We start from the raw sequence: 22,343 nt of genomic DNA on the forward strand, positions 1-22,343 counted from the left end.
CATCCTAGCTCACATCAGCAGACTTCTCCCTCACCACTGGCTATCCTGCCCTTGACTAGCTAGAAGGGAGGATCATGGATATAAGGATATAGCATCCTTGTAAAATTGTACTGAATCCAAGGCTCGGGGAGATAAATCTCCCTGGGCTTCCCCTGCATTCCCTCTTCCTTCATGCCATAAAGGGGCCACCACCATAAACTAAATCTGAAATCCCAGCATATCAGAAGAAAGCAAAACTAAAAATCCATATCAAAGCAGAAAATCAAGAGTGGAGACTGAAAACGTGATTCTTATCTTTATTGAACATTGCATTGATGAGAATCAATAACAATTGTAAATGTTTCCATTTCATATTTAGAATGTTTTATATTGGTCTAGAAGTTAAGAGTTCAAAGAGCATGTTCATTTACCTCATTTGATATCGCAGTGATTTATTGTACAAAAGGAACTTAAGAGCCCTTTGATCAATCTGTAACAGACATAGTTTTCCTAACCAAGTGTTTCTCCAAGTATGGTTCTCAAAACTGGTCCATGCAAGCAGCATCAGCACCACCGGGGACTTGTTAGAAATGCAGATACTTGAGCTCCATCCCCAGACCTGCTGAATTAGAAACCCTGGGAGTAGGCCTAGCAATCTTTGTTGTCACAAGTCCTCCAGGGAATTTCTGTACACCCTATCATTTGAGAACCACTGCCCTAGCCTCCTAGAGACTGCCAGGCCTTCCTGAGTTCCTCTTCACCATCTGAACCAAACAGTGGCATTTTTCAAGCACTATTTGTAGAGTGTTTGTCTGTCTTTGCCAATAGTAAGGTCGGGTCTTCAGATTTCTGTGCCAGATTTAAGAAAAGACAGTAAGGCAGTAGTTTTCAATATTAAGAAAATGGTTCCCATTTTTTCTTCATACCCTCTCCCCATCACGCACATACACACACACACACACACACACACACATATACATATACACATGCTGCCCCTGCCCATTTCAGAGTGTCTCCTCCAGCTCCTCAGACCCCTATTCTGGGACATTCTGCACTCCCTTCCCACACCCTCCTCTATAAAATGCACTTTTTAAAATCTTAGCCTCCAGCCTGTATCACCTCTCCCCTCCATATTCACCCATCCCCCATTACCCCTCTTCAGCCTCTATCTTTTTGCAGCTTCCAAAGCTTTTGCATTTACAGCCTCACCCTAGGCACTATCTTTCACCCAACACCTTGTGTCCATTTCCGAAACCCTGTCTCTCCGCTCCCCTCCTTCCCACTCCTGCCCTATGCACATTTTCTCTCCTACACGAGTGCTAGCTCCTTTCCCACAGGTCAGCCAGACTCCCTCATTTGCTGCCCATCCCTAGTCCCCACTGTTTTCCTGATGATTTTTGTTCTCATCCCCTAGAACAGAGATGACCAGCCCCACACCCAATCTTCTCTGGGTCTCCCCTCCTCTGACATCCTCTCCCCTCCTCTGACATCACCAGTCTTTGGCTTTTATTTCTGCTACAATAGAAATATTTTTTCTCTGAGGCCATAGTCTTCTCCAACTTTCGTACTTATCTTTTGTTACCTATGCACTAGTTTCTTTTTTAAATATATTGAAGTGAATAGTTGATTTGAAGGAAAAAATATTAGATAAAAAATTGTTCAGGTAATAAGAGGATGAACCAAAAATTGTGGAGGTGGTCACAGAATAAATGATGGTATCAAATGCTGATGCAGCAGGAGGGGGTGGGCATGTCGAAAAGCAGAATATGTTAAATATTGTGAGAAAAGACCCTGGGGTAGAGATGAGCATGTGGCTACAGGCAGCAGTGGGATTCCAGCACGAGAAGGGTGGAAGGAAGGTTCAGGTAAGACAAAGATGTTTATCCTTTCTAGGTCAAAGCCCATGTTGAAAATCTAATGAAATCTAACAAGTCCTCATAGTAAAATGCCCAAACAAGCAAAAGTTTGCATTTATTTCTGGCACATGGAAGAATTCATGAAGCCTAAAGGGGATGACGTCCAGAGACCTCAGATAGAGAAACATGCTGGGTTTGGGTGCCAGTCCAAAAGGCTTCAATGCCAGAAAATGCAACAAAACTTGGGCTTCATCCAAGTGGCAAGGTGGTATGTGTTTTAGGATGCTCAACTTTGTGTACTTTATATTTTGTGTACACATCTCGTGCCCAGCCTTTAGCAAGACTTTCCGAAATTAATGTTTTGATTCCAGAAACTTCAGGCCAGCAACATTGGCTTGATGCCAGAAAAACCAGCCACTAACATATTTTGAAAATGATGTCGTAGATAGAGTACAGGAAATGATTATCACTGGGCAGATAAAAGGAAAACATCTTAAAAGAGAATATAAACTTTTTAACCTACTCTAGAGGCAACATGTAAAAACGTCTGTGCACCAGAGAAAGAAAATTCAGTGATATGTGTGAGGAGTGGTTTGCATGTGTGTGAGGTTAGAGAAAAAGCCACACGTGGATTGCAAATGTATTCGTTTTATCTACTGAGTGCTATTCTGCCAATCCTGAAACAAGAAGATTACCATTTTTGTGTTTTCAGTGTAATAGTATCAGGTAACACAGATTCATTGGTTGCTACATGCCAAGCACCTCATGTGCATTGTTTCATTTAAACCCCTCCTTTACCCTGTGAGGCAGACACTCATACAAATGAAGTGCTGAGGCCCAGAGAGCTTATGCAAAGAATGGCTAAGTCGCTGTTCTAGAACCTGAAGCTGGGATGAACTAGACCAAGATTAAACCAGGTGGCCTGACTCTGTCAGAGCCTTGCTTCTTAACACCATCCTGGATCCAACAATAGTTCTCTCTCCCCAAAACTGACATGGCTCAAAATCTGAATTCCCCTGTTGGCCCAGTTTCCAACCAGATCCACAAACTGTAATTGGATTATGCAGCTGGAATCTGAGAAACAGGAAAGTGCAAATGGCCAAAATAATGAGCACTCGTTAAACTCCTTGGAAAGAACAACACTGCTTCAAGGCAGTGCCTACAAGCAAGTTTTCCTTGAAGAAAATAACTAAAACGTAATCATTACTTTTAGAGATCTTGGTCGATTTCACCCACTGTCCATTCTTCTGCTTGTTTTCCCAGAGAAAATGCGTAGGTGCTCTCTTATTAAAAATAAACTTGCATCCCAGTCTACCCCAGAGCGAGATCAAATGGCTACCACAGGGAGTGATATGAAAATGGAGTCATTTCTCTGAAATTCCCAAGGGTGCTTTTTTGCTTTTAAGAGCAATGAAGTCACTTTCTGCTAGTAATTTATTATTTCCACCAGTTATTCAAATATTTGTCCACATGTTGAAAAATTAGTCCTTATTCAAACAAGTTTTTGCTTTTAAAGCAAAGGCATTCTAAATGTTCAGTAAAACTGGATTCTAGCAAAGGGATACATATAAAGTAATTAAAGGCACATGCTCACTTTCTTCTTAGATAAGCAAACTAAAAATACAAAAAAAAAATAAAAAAAGCCTACACCTTTCTTCAATAGACATTGGTTTCCCAGATTGCACTGGAGGCCTAAGCTCAAAAAATGAGGTTGGCTTCATCCAAACATCACCTGTCTTGCCATTTCCCTGGGCTTGCATGCTAAACAGGTTCAGTCATTTCTGAAAATCGTGGTTCAGGCTGGTCTTTCTTTTGTCCTTGGCATTCTTAGCCTCAGCCAATAGCAGTATGAAGACATTAACCTTATTAAACATAGATTGTGGCTGGTGTTATTGGAAAGAAGTTTAGTTTGTTGTTCACCCATTATCACATTATAGATGACTTTTATCGCTATAGTGGTCATGTGTATGTGGGTAATTGCCCCCTTTCCATCCAAATAATATAAATACCATTAGGCAGGAAGAAAAAGGAAATGGGAAGGAGAGAATAGAGTGCATAATGGGAGGAAAGGACTATTTCCTAAATGCTTCCTGACTTACTGTAGGGAACAAATGAATTATTGCACCCTTCTAAAACTTCAGTGCCCTTGGTAAAAGCAGACAGAGACAGGAGAAAGGGTAAGCAGTTTGTCTTTCTGGAAAAAAGGGCAAATTATATTATATATATATAGTTTTTTTTTCCCCAAATACTGCTCACTAAATTAAGTATTTCCACACTGTTCCCAGCAAGCAGGGAAAAGCATATGGAAGAAGGGAGAGAGAGATCCTATATAACTTCTTCAGAATTGAGGGAGGGTCAGGAAAATACTCAAAGAAATAAACTGTGTAAATAAATACAGTAACTAATCCTAACAGCCTCTGAAACCTCACTTAAGGCATAGATGGTGCCTGGAAGCCAAAGTTTCCACTCAGTCAGCACTAGCATTCAAACACATCATCATTTAGGGAGTTGCTTTTTCTCATCATCTGTTTATCCTCAACTGCCCTCATTGTTCAGCACAGTGAGTACTCAGTAATTACCTTTTGAATGTATAAGAAATCACCTCATTGAGCATCTACCATATACATAGGATTCTTTTTAATAATTACCAAATTTCAGATATGTTAAAGTTAGGAAAAAAAAATCTGGTTTGGGTCAGCAAGTTCAGTAAATCGGTCTCATAAAAGAAGTTTGAGAAGAGCATTTTCCATTGACCTTTTCTTCACATTTAAAGTGTCTCTGAATTTGACAGTAGGTATCAAGAGATTTGGAAAAGGTCATGCCTCTTGCCCAAGTAGCTCAACTTCCAGATATCTACCCCCAAGGAAGTCATAAGAGGTATGAACAAAAATTTGTGGTGGAGATGTTCATCACAGCACTATTTAGAATATCAGTATCCATGGATACACATGTCCAGGCACAGGGTCAAGTTTAAATTAAGCTGGAATCAAAGTCAAGTCATGTAATGGCCTCCCAGTGACCCTTACATGTGATTTTTTTAAAGTTTCTTTAATGGCATGGAAGATATTTGATGATACACTGATAAACGAAAAAAGCAGGATGCAATGCACTTCACACAGGATGATCGAAATCTACATCAGAGAAAAAGCTACAGGAAGAAAGAGACACACACACACATGAAGAGAAAATCAAAAGTTAACATTCCAAGTTACAATGAGGAGTTATCCCTTAGTTATGAAGGTTATGAGGTCACAAATGATTTCTTTCATCTTTTTAAAATTTCCTGTTATTATATATTCCCAGATTGCTTTTATAGTCAGAAAAAAATAAATTTTTTGTCATAGAATTTTTAACTGTTTAGACCAGGTTAGGAAGTCTAATCATAGGGAAAATGAGATATTCTAAATTCTGACAGCTTCAATTGCCAGAATTCAATTGCCATAAGTTTTCTGTGTGTTTTTGTTGTTGTTGTTGGTTTGTTTTTTTAGACAGGGTCTCGCTGTCACCCAAACTGGAGTGCAGCGGCACAATCATGGCTCACTGCAGCCTCCCCATTCTGGGTTCACGCAGTCCTCCTGCCTCAGTCTTCTGCTACCAGATGATCTCTACAGTTTTCCTATGGTTTCTTGAAGACTTCTGTGCATTTTCCCTAATAGCCAACTACTTATGATCTGTGAGTCTGCAGCAGCTAATAATTACAAGAATTTTCTCAGGAAAGGAAGATGGAAAGGGGAGTTCAGGAGAGTCCGACTCAAGCCATAGGTTGCCATTGGCTTGTTGGCAAGTCACTTAAACTCTTGAGGCCTCCTTTGTGTCATAGACTAGGTAATTTTTAAGCTCCCCTGTAGTTTTAAGTCCAAAAAATAATTATCTTTTCTATGCTGTTCTAGGAGGTCGCCACCAAATAATTTGCATTTGGAGCATGTAGACTTCAATTGTTCTTGAGTGAAAGAATTGCCTTCCAGTCACTCTGGAGGATGACAGAGGCCAGTCACTCACACTTGGGCTATTCAGTGGCCTTCCTCTCACATCATCTCCTGGTTTCTGGGCTTCACCACCAGGATCCCCTTAGAGTTCTGCTCGTCCCACAAGGTATGATTTTTAACATGCCAAATGCACTTTTATCATCAACAAAGCCTACTGTGCTGGGAAAACAGTGGCCCTCAGCCTTTTCTGGGACACAGCTGCCTTTCAGAAACTGTGGGAAACATTGACCTCTCCTCAGAAAAATGGTCTTTCACGTCAAAATTTGGCTGACCACTTCATGGACTCACAGACTTGCAGCCCAAAGCCCTTGGATGCCAGGTTAAAAACCCCTGGTTAGGATAGTATTTACCTATTCAACAGAGCCCCAGATGATTTTAAAGCATGCTTCTTTTTCGCGAGTAAGATGATCATGATGACTAGAAATCATGTAATGAAGGGGGCCCGCCCAGGCCCTGTGAGTCAGGAAGAAGGGAACCCAGAGCTGTATCCTTCAGTGCAACCCAGGATCAGCAAGCCTCAGGACAGCGGTGAGGACCACAGGAAAGGGGACACATCTCAGAAACCGCTCCCTGCTCCAGAGCCTGTCTACAAGTGACAGAGCTGCAACCGCCACCAGGGCAGCCTTCTCCCTGACAAGAATTAGGACTCAGGTTTACAATGCCCCAGGCATTATCTTACTGATCCTCACCACAACTCACTGTGCTACTATTGAGCTTGATTGTACGTGGTACCCAACATCTCCATTTTGTAGATGAGGAAACTGAGTATCAGGGAGGATAAGAAGTTTTTCCAAAGTCACAGAGCCAGCAAATGTCAGGGGCATGATTCAGGCTCTGCCTGACTCTATTCCACCCAAGTCAGGCTAATTATTATCAGGCAAGCCCCCGTGCTCAGCTCAGCCACAGGATTGTGTTTCTCAGGAAACATTGCCATAAGTTGAACACAAGTGACACAGAGGAGACTCATGGAAAATTAGTAGCAAGTGGTAGCTGAATAGCAGTTTTTCTTTTTTTTTTTTTTTTTTTTTTGAGACAGGATTTCACTGTCTCCCAGGGTAGAGTGCAGTGGCATGATCATGGCTCCCTGCAACCTCCACTTCCTGGGCTCAGGCAATCCTCCTGCCTCAACATCCCAAGTAGCTGAGACTATAGGCATGGGCCACCATGCCTGGCTAATTTTTTCAATTTTTTGTAGAGATGGAGTCTCATTATGTTGCCCAGACTGGTCTTAAACTCTTGGCCTCAAGCAATCCTGCATTGGCCTCCCAATGCGCTGGGATTACAGGTGTGAGCCACTATGCCTGGCTGGCAGGAATGTCTTAATGCCCGATGCCTCTCAAAGTTCTGTTTGAGGGTGGAAGTAAGAAGGAAGACAGCCTAGGAGCTTCTTTGAAAAAAAATAGCATCTTTGTTTTTTTTCATTTGCAGAGTCATCATTTCTCTGTGTGCCCAATGCTGTGAGTGACCAGCTATAGCCAGGGAAACTCTGTAGCTCTAGAACATGGCCAAGGCCTTTGCTGAAATCCCAGAGCCAGGGAACCACACAGAAGTGCATGGCAAGCCTGGCTCTATGTTCCAGGGGACTGGCTACTTCTCTTAATAAAACAGACTCCCTCTGTCCCCTCAACTAAGAATCATAGAACTTTAAAAATGGAAGGAACCTCAAATATTACTTGGTTTAATGGCTTCCTCTTTTTCATCACTCCCACCCTTCCTTCCTACCTTTACTGTAGACCTTATTTTGCCAAGGAAGAAATTCAAAACCAGAGAAAAGAAGTTGCTTTTTTAAGATTCTACAGATCATTATTAGAGGGTAGAAGTTGAACATAGGTCTATTATGGACCAGGAAGTATGTCACATAATTTACAAATAGCATCTCATTTAAACTTACAGTTATTCACTAAAGTAGATCTTATTATACTCATTTTATAGATGGAGAAACTAATGTTCAGGAAAATAAATAATTCACCATGGTCAAACAAAAAAAAATCATTTGAACATAAATAGCCCTAACCCATAAAGCCAATGCCTTTTTCAAAAAACTCTATAGACCATTAGAGATGAGCCAGAAGTTACCCTGATAATGCTCCTGTGAAGTGCTGGTCAGTGTGTTTAGGTTCCCCTGCACTCCTTTCACCTATGGTACTCTGCCTCTCCCTCTCAGTCTGGAGAATGAACAGCAGACATGGTGATGGATACAAAAGGGAGACCCCTCTGATGGGTGCAGTGGTGACAGCAAAGACCAGATCCAAGAAAGTACCATCTTGGATGGGATATGTGCCAGAGTGGATGCATGACATGACCAAGGGTCAGAAGAGATACGTGACATTTCAAAGATAACAGAATAGTAACAAAATAGATGAGTTTAAAAAAAATAAAATAAATAAATAAAAACGTTTTTTTCTAACAACCTCAAGAGTGTCAGCTGCCGACATACAACTTATTATAAATGCTGAGGAAAGAAGGCGATAAAAGAAAGACAATCCAAGTTCGACGATGAAGGAAAAAGGCGACAAGATTAAGCTTTCTTCATCAGGCATAATATATAGAAGCTCAAAGTCAGGGTAAAGTGAGTTATAGAAAAATAAAGATGACATTTTTCACAGCAATAATCAGTTTCACAGTTATCATTTGTATTAAACTGGTTATTCTATCATGCTACCAATTCAGAAATGCTCCATAAAAATTATGCAAATTATTTCATTTGAAATAAGCTTTAAGTCAATTTTAGGGAAAGGAAAAAAGAAGGACCACAAACCATGTACCCATTTCCCATGTGAAACTCATCAGCCCTCCTGCCACTACTTGTTATTACAGATTTGAGGAAAACTGGAAGAGACAGAAGACAAGAAAAAGAACCGTTCCAGAATAATCCAATATGGGGGGAATGGGGGTAGTGGGGCGGGTAGTGAGAATAAAGCTGTCAAAAGACAAGACAGATTATAGGCCGGGTGCGGTGGCTCACAGCTGTAATCTCAGCACTTTGGGAGGCTGAGGCGGGCGGATCACAAAGTCAGGAGATCAAGACCATCCTGGTTAACACGGTGAAACCCCGTCTCTGCTTAAAATACAAAAAACTAGCTGGGCATGGTGGTGGGCGCCTGTAGTCCCGGCTACTCAGGAGGCCGAGGCAGGAGAATGGCGTGAACCCGGGAGGCGGAGCTTGCAGTGAGCCAAGATGGCGCCACTGCTCTCCAGCCTGGGTGACAGAGAAAGAATCCGTCTCAAAAAAAAAAAAGAAAGAAAAGACAGATTATACTTCCTGTGCCCTTCAAAAACTGATTCAGTTCAGAAATAAGGATTCTTAGAATTCTTGATCAAGAAGTCATCTAGCTTTTCTCTGTCATCTTCAGGAAAACCAATGGCTACAGAGACATGAGCCCAGGGAAATGAGAAGTTTCCCAGAGGAAGCGATTCTAAACTGCCCTCACAGTCACAACCCTGCATTAGGACTAAATAAAGCTGATCAGCATTTATCAATCCGTACCTATGTGATAGATTCATTCATGTCAGTCTCTCCATTGAAAAACAGTTTCCACAAGGGCAGAATGTGACAGGGTTACAATGTATCAACATACTCTTCAAAACTAGCACAGTCCCTGACATAGAATTTATCCTACATTAATTTTGTTGAACAAATGAAATAAAAAAGTCTACACCCCAGGAATTGGAAATACTCTGTTATGATTACATATCTGCACTATACATGAAGTAAGGTAGTGCTATTTGAAAATGGAATTAGATTAGTAAGTTTATATTGCAAATATAGGACAAGTGTAAAAACACACTTTTAAAAGTATCCTTGGTATGCAAAAAGAGGAAAAAAATTATATAAAATTCTCAACTAAAATGAAAGAAAGCAGAAAAATGGGGGAAAAGAAAAAGTGATGAAAAGAAAAGTTATAAATAAAGTAGATATTAATCCAATTGTGTCAATAATCACTTTAAATATAAATACCTAAACATAACAATGAAAAGTCAGAGATTGTCAGAATGGATACAAAATAAGACACAACTATGTGTTGTCTACAAAGAACCACTTTAAATATAAAAGTACATTAAATACTACATCAAGATCTTCCTTCTCTCCTATCTCTACCCTCATGCACAAACACACACACACACACACACACACACACACACACACACAGAGGCTTTTAGTTAAAAAAAAATATTTTGGCTGAGTGTGGTGGCTCACACCTGTAATCTCAGCACTTTGGGAGGCCAAGGTGGGTGGATCACAAGGTCAGGTGTTTGAGACCAGCCTGGCCAATATGGTGAAACCCCTTCTCTACTAAAAATTTAAAAATTATCTGGCCGTGGCGGCACGCACCTGTAATCCTAGCTACTCGGGAGGCTGAGGCAGGAGAATCGCTCAAACCTGGGAGGCAGAGGTTGCAGTGAGCCAAGATCATGCCACTGCACTCCAGCCTGGGCAACAGAGCAAGACTCCATCTAAAAAAAAAATTATAGAGCTAAGAATGAGTTACTTCCTATTCTCAGTATACTAGATCCTGTCAATGTATTAATCAAGACAGTTACACAAAAGGATTGAGACTTCTCATGGTTTCATACCTTCTGTAAACAGTTCCACTATTCTGGAGCAAAACTGAAGGAGGCACTTAACAAACTTGCTGAAGTCTTGCTCTTACATACACAGACAGGCTTTAACATATAGCTGAAAATCAGTTACAGTTTCTCAGGACAGTGATGAAAGAAAACATGCAAATGTAACCCATATGTTAACTTTGATATTTGTCCCTTAGCCCTGTCAGGTTAACATTTCACACTTGGAAAATGAGAACTTCTCTTGTTATATTGCTTAAAGAAAACCAAAGTTTTGCTTACCTAAATGAAAATAAGGTTGTTTCTACCTTATGATGTCCAAATGGGACTTAGTCTCTTCCCTAAACCTTTTACTCCTCATAATTTTCACTTTTTCCTGAAGAAAAAACTGAAATTCAACTTTCTGAACCAAATCAGTCACTAATTGAAATAAATGCTCAGAGGAGAGCATATAAGCATTTTTAATTCAAACAACAAATACCATGTGATTAATAAAGTGTCATTCAACTTTCTGCTAAACTATCTAAGCCTTGATCTTTTCAGTTGTATGTTGATTATATGATTCCATTTCAAAAGGTCTGCATGAGAATAATTCTGCTTACAGGAAAACTAGCAAACACAAACTTCTTATTTGGTCCACCTATGTTCTCTTGCCTCGACTGTTCTTTAAAAAAAAAATAGGTTTAGTTGACAGCATATTCAAAATGAGAGATTTCAAATACATACTCTGATTTCCAAACATCTCTTGAAAACTAGATCTGTCTATTAAACTTAGGCTTATTAGTTCATCTGGCAACAATCAGCTTGCCTAATAACAACTGCTCCCTTTAGACAAGGCATGTGCTTTCCAGTTTGCCAGTTGCCAACATTCCATATTGATTCCCTGACACCGAGACCCAGTGCCAGTTGCCATTTACCATCAGGCTTCTGCTGCTGTTTTTCTTGTAATAGAGAACTATTCCTCTGTTATTTGTGTCACTATGAAAAGTGGGGAGATAGACCAAGAGAATATCAAGTGTGTTATACTCACTGCATGCTTCCATCATGTACATTCACTGACCCATCATTTAAACATTTCGGTTTGAAACCTATGCCCTATAGAACAGTGATGAGACAGTCATTCGCTCTGAAAGTCAAGAGGTGCCAGCCAGCTACAAACTAGGGTTTGTAGAGGTTTGTTCATGTAATAAGTGTAATCAAGATGACACTACACATAGGAAGAATAAAAAGGAACACCAAGTCATCAAAAATTTTCTGAAAAATCAAGACTTTCCATGTGATGGTGAATATTGTCAATTTGATTGGATTGAAGGATGCAAAGCATTGTTCCTGGGTGTGTCTGTGAGGGTGCTGCCAAAGGAGATTAACATTTGAGTCAGGACCAGGAAAGACAGACCCACCCTCAGTCTGGGTGGGCACCATCTAATCAGCTGCCAGCATGGCCAGAATAAAAGCAGGCAGAGAACATGGAAAGCCTAGACTGGCTTGATCTTCTGATCTACATCTTTCTCCCATGTTGGATGCTTCCTGCCCTCGAATATCAGACTCCAAGTTATTTGGATTTGGGGTTTTTTCCTCCTCCCCCTCCTCCTCCTCCTCCTCTTCTTCCTCCTCCTCCTTCTTCCTTCTCCTTCTTCTCCTCCTCTTCCTTCTTCTTCCTTCTCCTTCTTCTCCTCTTCCTTCTTCTTTTTCCTGCTTTTTCCTCCTCCTCCTCCCCCTTCTTCTTCTTCTTCCCCTTCTTCCTCCTCCTCCACTTGTTCCTCTTCCTCCTCCTCTCTTATACTTCCCCTTCCCCATTTTTTTCACTTCTCCTCCTCCTCCTCTTTCTCCTCCTTCTTCTTCGTTTGCTTCTTCTTCTTTGTTCACTTCTTCTTCCTCCTCCTCCTTCTTCCTCCTCTTCCATTTCTTTTTCCTCTTCCTCCTCCTTCTTCTTTTTCCTCCTGCTCTCCCCCATTCTAGAATTCCAGATATACATATGTTTAAATGTTTGGTATTGTCACAGAACTCTTGAATAGTCTGTTATGATGTTTTTGTTTTGTTTCCATTTTTCTCTCTTTGTATTTTAGTCTGAATAATTTCTATAGACCTAGTTTTAAATTCACTGTTTTTTTTTTCCTCAGCTATGTCAAGTCTATTGATGAGCCCAACACAGGCATTCTTCATCTCTTTTATTGAATTTTTTATTTCTAGTATTTCCATGTGATGATTTTTGTAGTTTTCATTTCCCTGCTGAGATTATCTGTCTGCTCTTGCATGTTGTTTACTTTTTTCATTAGATCCTTCAAAGTACTGGTTATGCTTATTTTAAATCCTTGTCAGGTAATTACAACATTTGTGCCATATTTTATTCTGGTCTGATGATTGCTTTGTCTTTGAAGGTGTATTTTTTTTTCTTGCTTTTTCATATGCTTCCTAACTTTTTCTACATCCTGAGCATGAGTCTAACAGAGCTTTGATATCACAATATAAAAGGATCATTCAAGGAAAGAGCACTGCATGCATTACTAAGCATAGTTTTGGAAAACAAAATAAAACAGTGTATAAAAAGAATAATACATCATGATTAAGTTTGGTTTAACACTAAAAATAGTAGTTAACATAATCCAACACATTAAGGATTAAAAGAGAAAAATCATGTGATTATCACAGTAACTGCATTAAAAAGCATTTGATAGAGTTTTAATCCTTCAATAATTTAAAGTAAAAACTGTTAGGAAAAATAGGAGATGGGAACATTCTTAACTAATTTTTAAATTAATAATTTCAAAAATACATAAGCAGAGAGAGAGAGATCATCATGGCAGATGGGAGGCAGGACTACATTGCAGCTCCAGACAGAACAGCTTACGGAAGCTCGCAGTGTGAATTTTAGCTCCAGATCGACTGCAAGAACAAACCAGCAATCCTGAGAGGACCCGCAGACCCTCTGAAGGAAGCAGACTGCTCCTGCAGGACCCAGGAAACGTCCCAAATACTGTGAGTGCCCCAGCTGCAGAGGTGGGAAAGGGAGACCCTCCATTCCCAAACACACACTCCCACTGGAGAAGATGAAGGTCTGTTTGTGGGAGAAGTTTCCGACCTTACCTGGAGCTGAGCCAATTTAGAGAGTCGAGTGAAATACAGGGGTAGAGGAAGCAGCAGAAAGGCCCTGGGAGCTTGCTGGGTCCCCTAGCTGGCTATTCCTGCCTGGCACCACACGGTTCCATTCAGTGGGTGACCGACCAGAGGAGCAGGGGATACAACTCCACAGGGAGAAGGAAATCTCTAGCTGAACTCTGTAACAATTTGAATGGGGCAAGAAGCCTTCTGGCCATAACTCAGGGGAGTGAGCAAATCTGGCATGCAGACTCCACAGGCAGGGAAAGAACCAAGCCCTTTTCTCTGGCAGCTGGGAGGTGGAAAGCCTGGGGCAGGTTTTCAATCCCCTCATGCCCTCCACCTGGAAACAGACCGGGGCTGTTTGCGGGGAGCACAGTGGGAGTGAGACCACCCCTTTGTTTTGCATGGGAGCTGGGTGAGGCCTGTGACTGCCAGCTTTTCCCCATTTCCTAGACAACCTGCGTGACTCAGCAGACAGCCATAACCCTCCTAGGTACACAACTCCAGTGACCTGGGAACATCACCCCCATCTGCCACAGCAGCCACAGCAAGACCCACCCAAGGACAAAGGAGAATCTGAGTTCAGACATGCCTAGCCCTGCCCTGACCTGATGGTCCTTCCCTATCTACCCTGGTAGCGGAAGACCAAGGGCATATAATCTTAGGAGTTCTAGGGCCCCATCCACCGTCAGTCCCTCTCTATACTACTAAAACTGATGCTTTCTGGAAAGCCCCACCTCCTGGCAGGAGGCCAACCAGCATAAAAATAGAGCATTAAACCACCAAAGCTAAGAACCCTCATGGAGTCCACTGCATGCCCCCTGCCACCTCCACCAGAACAGGCACTAGTATCCACAGCTGAGAGACCCATAGATGGTTCACATCACAGGACTCTGTGCAAACAACCCCCAGTACCAGCCCAGAGCTGGATAGACTCGCTGGGTGGCTAGACTCAGAAGACAGACAACAATCACTGCAGTTCGGCTCACAGGAAGCCACATCCATAGGAAAAGGGGGAGAGTACTATAACAAGAGAACACCCCGTGGGACAAAAGAATCTGAACAGCAGCCTTCAGCCCTAGACCTTCCCTCTGACAGAGCCTACCCAAATGAGAAGGAAACCAACCCTGGTAATATGACAAAAACAGGCTCTTCAAATACATGGAAATTAAATAACCTGCTCCTGAATTAGCAATGGGTCAAAAACAAAATCAAGATAGAAATTTAAAAATTCTTTGAACTGAATGACGATAATGATATAACCTATCAAAACCTCTTTGATACAGCAAAGGTGATGCTAAGAGGAAAGTTCACAGCCCTAAGTACCTACATCAAAAAGACCTCACAAATTGACATTCTAAGGTCACACCTCAAGGAACTGGAGAAACAAGAACAAACCAAACCCAAGCCCAGCAGAAGAAAGGAAATTACTAAGATCAGAGCAGAACTAAATGAAATAAAAACAAAAAATATATATTTACAAAAAGATAAATGAAACAAAAAGCTGGTTCTTTGAAAAGATAAATAAAATTGATAGACCACTAACAAGATTAACCAAGAAAAGAAGAGAGAAAATCCAAATAACCTCACCAAGAAAGGCAACAGGAGATATTACAACTGACACCACTGAAATACAAAAGATCATTCATGGCTACTATGAACACCTTTACACACATAAACTAGAAAACCTAGAAGAGATGGAAAAATACCTGGAAAAATATAACCCTCCTGGCTTAAATCAGGAAGAATTAAACACCCCATGCAGACCAATAACAAGCAGAGAGATTGAAATGGTAATTTAAAAATTACCAACAAAAAAAAGGTCCAGGACCAGACAGATTCACAGCAGAATTCTACCAGACATTCAAAGAAGAATTGGTACCAATCCTTTTGACACTATTCCATAAGATAAAGAAAGAAGGAACCCTCCCTCATTCATTTTATGAAGCCAGCATCACCCTAATAACAAAACCAGGAAAAAGCATAATCAAAAAAGAAAACTATAGTTCAATATCCTTGATGAACATTGAGGCTAAAATTATTAACAAAATACTTGCTAACTGAATTCAACAACATATCAAAAAGATAATCCACCATGATCAAGTGGGTTTCATATCAGGGATACAGAGATGGTTTAACATACACAAGTCAGTAAATGTGATACACCACATAAACACAATTAAAAACAAAAATCACATGATCATCTCAATAGATGCAGAAGAAACATTCAACAAAATATAGCATCCTTTTATGATTAAAACTCTCAGCAAAACTCAGCATACAAGGGACATACATTAATGTAATAAAAGTCATCTAAGACAAACCCACAGCCAATATAATATTGAATGAGAAAAAGTTGAAAGCATTCCCTCTGAGAATGGGAACAAGACAAGGATGCCCACTCTCATCACTCCTCTACAATACAGTACTGGAAGCCCTAACCAGAGCAATCAGACAAGAAAAAGAAATAAAGGGCATCCAAATCGGCAAAGAGGAAGTCAAACTGTCACTGTTTGTTGATGATATGATCATTTACCTTGAAAACCCTAAGAAATTCTCCAGAAATCTCCTAGAACTGATAAAGCAATTCAGCAAATTTCCAATACAAGATTAATGTACACAACTCAGTAGCTCTTCTATACACCAGCAGCAAACAAGCAGAGAATCAAATCAAGAACTCAACCACTTTTACAATAGCTGCAAAAAACAAACAAACAAAAATACCTAGGAATATACCTAACCAAGGAGTCAAAAGACCTCTACAAGGAAAACTATAAAACACAGCTGAAAGAAATCATAGACAACACAAACAAATGGAAACACATCCCATGCTCATAGATGCGTAGAATCAATACTGTGAAAATGACCATACTGCCAAAAGCAACCTACAAATTCAAGGCAATATCCATCAAAATACCACCATCATTCTTCACAGAATTAGAAAAAACAATTCTAAAATTCATATGGAACCAAAAAAGAGCCTGCATAGCCAAAGCAAGACTAAACAAAAAGAACAAATCTGGTGGCATCACACTACCTGATTTCAAACCATACTATAAGGCCATAGTCACCAAAACAGCATGGTACTGGTATAGAAATAGGCATATAGACTAAGGAAAGAGAATAGAGAACCCAGAAATAAACCAAATAAACCAAAGCCAACTGATCTTCAATAAAGCAAACAAAAACATAAAGTGGGGAAAGAACACCCTTTTCAACAGATGGTGCTGGGATAATTGGCTAGCCACATGTAGAAGAATGAAACTGGATCCTCATCTCTTAACTTATACAAAAATCAACTCCAGATGGATTAAGCACTTAAACCTAAGACCTGAAACTATAAAAATTCTAGCAGATAACATTGGAAAAACCTTTCTAAACATTGGTTTAGGCAAGGATTTCATGACCAAGAACACAAAAGCAAATATGCAATAAAAACCAAGAAAAATATTTGGGACCTAATTAAACTAAAGAGCTTTTAAACAACAAAAGGAACAGTCAACAAAGTAAACAGATAACCCACAGAGTGGGAGAAAATCTTCACAATCTACACATCTGACCAAGGACTAATACCCAAAATCTACAACAAATTAAGACAAATCAGCAAGAAAAAACCAAACAGTCCCAACCAAAAGTGGGTGAAGGACATGAATAGACAATTCTCAAAAGAGGATATACAAATAGCCAACAAACATGAAAAAATGCCCAACATCGCTAATGATCTGGGAAATGCAAATCAAAACCACCTTATTCCTGCAAGAATGGCCATAATCAAAAAATAAAAAAAACAGTAGATGTTGGCATGAATGTGGTGAACAGGGAACACTTCTACACTGCTGGTGGGAATGTAAACTAGTACAGCCACTATGGAAAACAGTGTGGAGATTCCTTAAAGAACTAAAAGTAGAACTACCATTTGATCCAGCAATCCCACTACCAGGTATCTACCCAGAGGAAAAGAAGTCATTACTCAAAAAAGATACTGGGACACTCATGTTTATAGTGGCACAATTCACAATAGCAAAATCGTGGAACCAACCCAAATGCTCATCAATCAACATATATGTATGTATAATATGTTATATATGTATATGTATGTTTATATCTATCTCACAGTTTCTTTATCTATACATATATATACACATATACATATATATACACATATACACGTGTATATATGCATATATACATATATACATATATACAAACATACATATATGTGTATATATACATACAAACATACATATATGTGTATATATACAAACATACATATATGTGTATGTATACATACACATATATATGTGTATATATAATATATACATATATTATACATACATATATACATATTATACATACATATATTATATATATGTATGTATAATGGAATACTATGCAGCCATAAAAAGGATTGTATTAACAGCATTTGCAGTGACCCAGATGAAACTGCAGACTATTATTCTAAGTGAAGTAACTCAGGAATGAAAAACCAAACACTGTATGTTCTCACTGATATGTGGGAGCTAAGCTATGAGGACGCAAAGGCATAAGAATGATACAATGGGCTTTGGGGACTTGGGGGAAAGCATGAGGCGGGATGAGGGATAAAAGACTACAAATGTGGTGCAATGTATACTGCTCAGGTGATGGGTGCACCAAAGTCTCACAAATCACCACAAAGAATTTATTCATGTAACCAAATACCACCTACACCCCAATAACTTATGGGGAAAATAAATAAAATTTTTTTAAAAATACGTAATCATATATATATATAATGTATACATTAAGTCCCATTTTTAAGAGTAAAATATTAAAAGTATTCCCTTTGTGATTACAAATAAGACAAAAATATCCACTATCACTAATTTTATTCAACAATATACTGGAGATCCTAGACAATACTGTAAAGAAATAAAAAGGATAAAGATTTGGAAAAAATAAAATAAAACTGTTGTTCAGATACATAATAGGAATTAGTTTACCAAGAATAATTGATATAAAATTACATATAAAAGCTATTACATTTTTATATACCAGCAACAATTACCTAGAAGGTGAAATTTTTACACATCATTTACAAAGTATGGATTATCTAGGAATAAATTTAATAAAATAACAAAAAAACCTCTATGGAAAAAATAATAATACTGCTTTTAAAGATTTGTAATGTAAATAAATAGAAAGTAGACTTTATGGGATCAAAAGACTCCAGTAATAAAGATGTCCATTCTCCCTAAATTGATCTATATATTCAATAGAATAAATACCAAAATCTCAACAGTTTGTTGTGTGTGAATGGGGCAGGGAGGGTGAAGAGAGAGAGAGAGAAGTGAGAAAAAAATGTGCGTGTACATATATGTTTGTTTTGAAACTTGAAAGCTAATTCTAAAATTCATGTGAAACTATTAAAGTGTTGGCTAGTCTTGAACAAGATAAGCATGAAGAAGAAAACTTGGGGGAGGGGACCTTGTTCTACTAATTATTAAAAATTATTATAAAGCTACTATTATTAAAACAGCCTGGCAGAGGCTAAAAGGCAGAAACAGAGAAAATCAAACAATACAGAGAACCCAGAAACTCAACAATACTTACCAGGACAACTGATACATGATTGAGTTAGCATTGTAGTTCAGTGGAAAAAGAACAAAATTTCAAAAGAAAATTGTGCTGTTAGGTATACTTTAGAGAAAGATTAAAATTTACCTTTACCTACATATACATACAGGTAATCAATCCAGTTATTTAATCCTAAACACCTATATGTGAAAAGTAAAGATATAATATTTTAGGTAATATCTTCTTGGTATGTAAGAGTTTTTAAATAAGACAGAAAAAGTAAACTTTGTAATAAATAAAAGGAAAACTTAGACTATATGAAAATTAAGTTGTGCTCATCAAAAGACACCATAAAGATAGTGGGAAGATAACAATATTTGCAACTCATGTAATTAAAGAAGAATGGCAATCCAGATTATAGTATAATTCCTGCAAATTGCTAAAAAAAAAAAAAAAAAAAAAGAAGAAGATGAAGAAGGAAAAAAGAGGAGGAAAGAAGAAACAGAAGCAAGAAAAATGAACAAAAGACTTGAATTTTAAAAAGGAAATTTGAGGCCCAGCACAGTGGCTCACACCTGTTATCCCAGAATTTTGGAAGGCCAAAGTGGGCGGATCACAAGGTCAGGAGTTCAAGACAAGCCTGGCCACCAAAGTGAAATCCCGTTTCTACCAAAAATACAAAAGTTAGCCGGGGATGGCGGTGTGCACCTGTAGTCCCAGCTACTTGAGAGGCTGAGACAGGATAATCGCTTGAACCCGGGAGGCAGAGGTTGCGGTGAGCCAAGATAGTGCCACTGCACTCCAGCACTCCAGCCTGGGTGACAGAACAAGACTCCGTCTCAAAAAATAAAAATAAATTAATTAATTAGTTAATTATAAAAAGGAAATTTGAATCGTCGATAAACATGAAAAGGTTCTTGACCTTACTAATCATCAAAGAAATGCAAATTAAAAAAACAATTAGCAATTACTATACTGGCATGAGATTTGAAAAAATTATATTTTACAATACCAAGTGCTGGTGAGGATGTGGATGCAATGTCAAGTTCAAACACTGTTAGTGGAGGTATATATTTGCAAAACTCCTTTGGAAAAAATTTGGCCATGCCTAAAAAAGTTGAACCCATACATGCATTATGACCAAGCAATTCTAGATATATACACCAGAGAAACTCATGCCTCGGAAGGTTTGTACCAGTTGTTCGTAGGAACATTGCCTAAAATTGGACACATCCCAAATGTACATCAACAGTAGAATGGAAAAAATAAAGTGTAGCATATTTAAAGTAGAATAACATACCACAGTAAAATTAAGTGCACATCAATAATACATGTCAATGAGTTTCACAAACAGAAATAAGGAAAAGAAGCAAGTGACAAAAGAATATTTACAGTGTCATTCCATTTGTATTAAGTTCAAAAAGAGAAGGAAATGCAATGCAATTTACTGACAAGCATTAGTGGTAACAGTATAAAGTAAACAAGAGAAAGGATTACCACAGAAGAGTAGTATGTAGTTATGTTTGAAGGGAAGAGGGAATTATGTCAGAAAGAAACATAAAGAAAATTTCTAAAAACTAGTAATGTTCCATTTTATAACCTGGGGGCAGGGATTATTTGCTTTAATATTATGTTATTTCAATTGACATATTAGTCACCATTCTGAATGATTAATATTGGTTACAAGTTGTTTTTTTTAATCAAATATTCAGTAGTCCATAACTACTTATTGGTCGGAAAGGTAGGAAATCTAAAGACAGGAAGTTGTTAAATGAATTAAAATATATTCATATGGATAAGCTAGATACTATACAGTACACTATATAGTATATCTATATATCCATATTCATGTTAATATACTATGCAGCAGTTTAAAATAATAAGGTATATTCATTTAAACTCATAAGGCAATATATCACAGATGTACACTAAGTGAAAATGACAAGTTGTACAAATTTCATTTATACAAAAATGTTCAAATCTCAAAAAATATAAAACCATAGTATATTCCTATTTAAACACATATAAATTTGTAAATGTATTGAATGAGTTCAGAAAAAAAGAAAAAAAACCCCACCAAACTGGTAATAGTAGTTACTTCTACAGAAAGGACTGATGTAGGGTAGAGGTGACATTGGATGGGGAAAGGTGAAGAAATCTAGAGGGAATTGCATTTAACCAGTATTATTTGCCTTTTTTTTTTTTAAATAAAGAATGTATTTGTGCATCAATTGTTTCCTTTGTTAAAAGTCTAGGACTTTCACTTCTACCAAATGAAGAATTAACTGCTATGGGAAATGTCTCTGTAAACAACTGAAAATCAGACAAAATATATGAAATAGTATTCAGACATGTGTAGCAGATAGCATGGGACTATGATCTCTGAGAGAAAGGAAACAAATGAGATGAGCAGTAAAATTAACCCAGATCACTGCCTAGAGAGTTTCCAGGCCTCAGTACAGGAGGGAGAACTCAAACAGGAAGGGAATCCAGTTGACTTTTTCTCACTAAGTTTAGGAAGCAAAGATAGGGAGGCCAAGGTGTCTAGAATTTGCAGACAAGAGTAAGTAGGGCTGCACAGAGGGTTCCAGAGAACTGCAGAGGGATGCCCTCAAGTCTTTGAGAAATAATCTGTACATAATATGGGGTGAAACTTTGGAAAGCAATAGATCAAATAATTTTCATAGTTCACATATGGCTAGGAAGAGTTTATGTTCAAATTCCAAACCACCACAAAAGAGGGATCTCATGAGACACAGGAAACTGAATAGAGAGTCTTCAGAATTGGGGTGCTTTCATAGTGAAGCTAAATGATCAGTAGAATAAAGGCTGCGCTGCACATGCCCTAATAAAATTTAAAAGCAAGCCTGGAAATGATAAGACTGATAGTAAGTAACATGACTATATGCAGAACAAATTCAACGTGCTTTAAAGAATACAACAAAACCCAGCATGAATGAACATAAAGTTCATAATGACTAGAATCCTATTAAAAGTTATAAGCATGTAAAAACAAAAAAAGCAGAAAAATATGACCTATAACTAGAGGAAAATTCAACCAGTCGAAACTGACCCAGAAACAACAGAAATAATTAAATTATTAGAGAAGACTTAAAAATACTATTAAAAATATGTTCCATATATTCAAGGATATTTTTCAAAACATAAATGTGATGAGAAAAAAAGTGGAAGATATAAAAAAGAACCATATGAACTTCTAGGGATATGTATTGATAAATACACTGGATAAGATTAACAGCATATTAAACATTGCAAAAACAAAAAGTGAATTTGAAAGCGT

General features: G+C 38.4%; 1 long non-coding RNA gene across 1 annotated transcript in view, besides 1 other annotated feature; it reads right to left on the bottom strand.

The window, feature by feature from the left end:
• Nucleotides 1-283: 283 nt before the first annotated feature.
• The window catches only part of LINC01812 (long intergenic non-protein coding RNA 1812), a 29,509-nt gene continuing 7,449 nt past the window's right edge, over nt 284-22,343 (bottom strand). Inside the window, exon 3 of the long non-coding RNA NR_110271.1 lies at nt 284-828. This is a non-coding gene — a long non-coding RNA (long intergenic non-protein coding RNA 1812). The remainder of the gene's footprint in view (nt 829-22,343) is intronic.
• Nucleotides 13,027-14,226: an enhancer, noted in NCBI's record as "MED14-independent group 3 enhancer chr2:68035929-68037128 (GRCh37/hg19 assembly coordinates)". NCBI's record gives its function as "activates an origin of replication core promoter dependent on BRD2, BRD4, P300/CBP and CDK7 cofactors, and independent of MED14, by STARR-seq in HCT116 cells {active_cell/tissue: HCT116}" and the evidence as "EXISTENCE:reporter gene assay evidence [ECO:0000049][PMID:35650434]".

This window comes from Homo sapiens, chromosome 2, assembly GCF_000001405.40.
Source record: "Homo sapiens chromosome 2, GRCh38.p14 Primary Assembly".
NCBI classification, from domain to species: domain Eukaryota; kingdom Metazoa; phylum Chordata; class Mammalia; order Primates; family Hominidae; genus Homo; species Homo sapiens.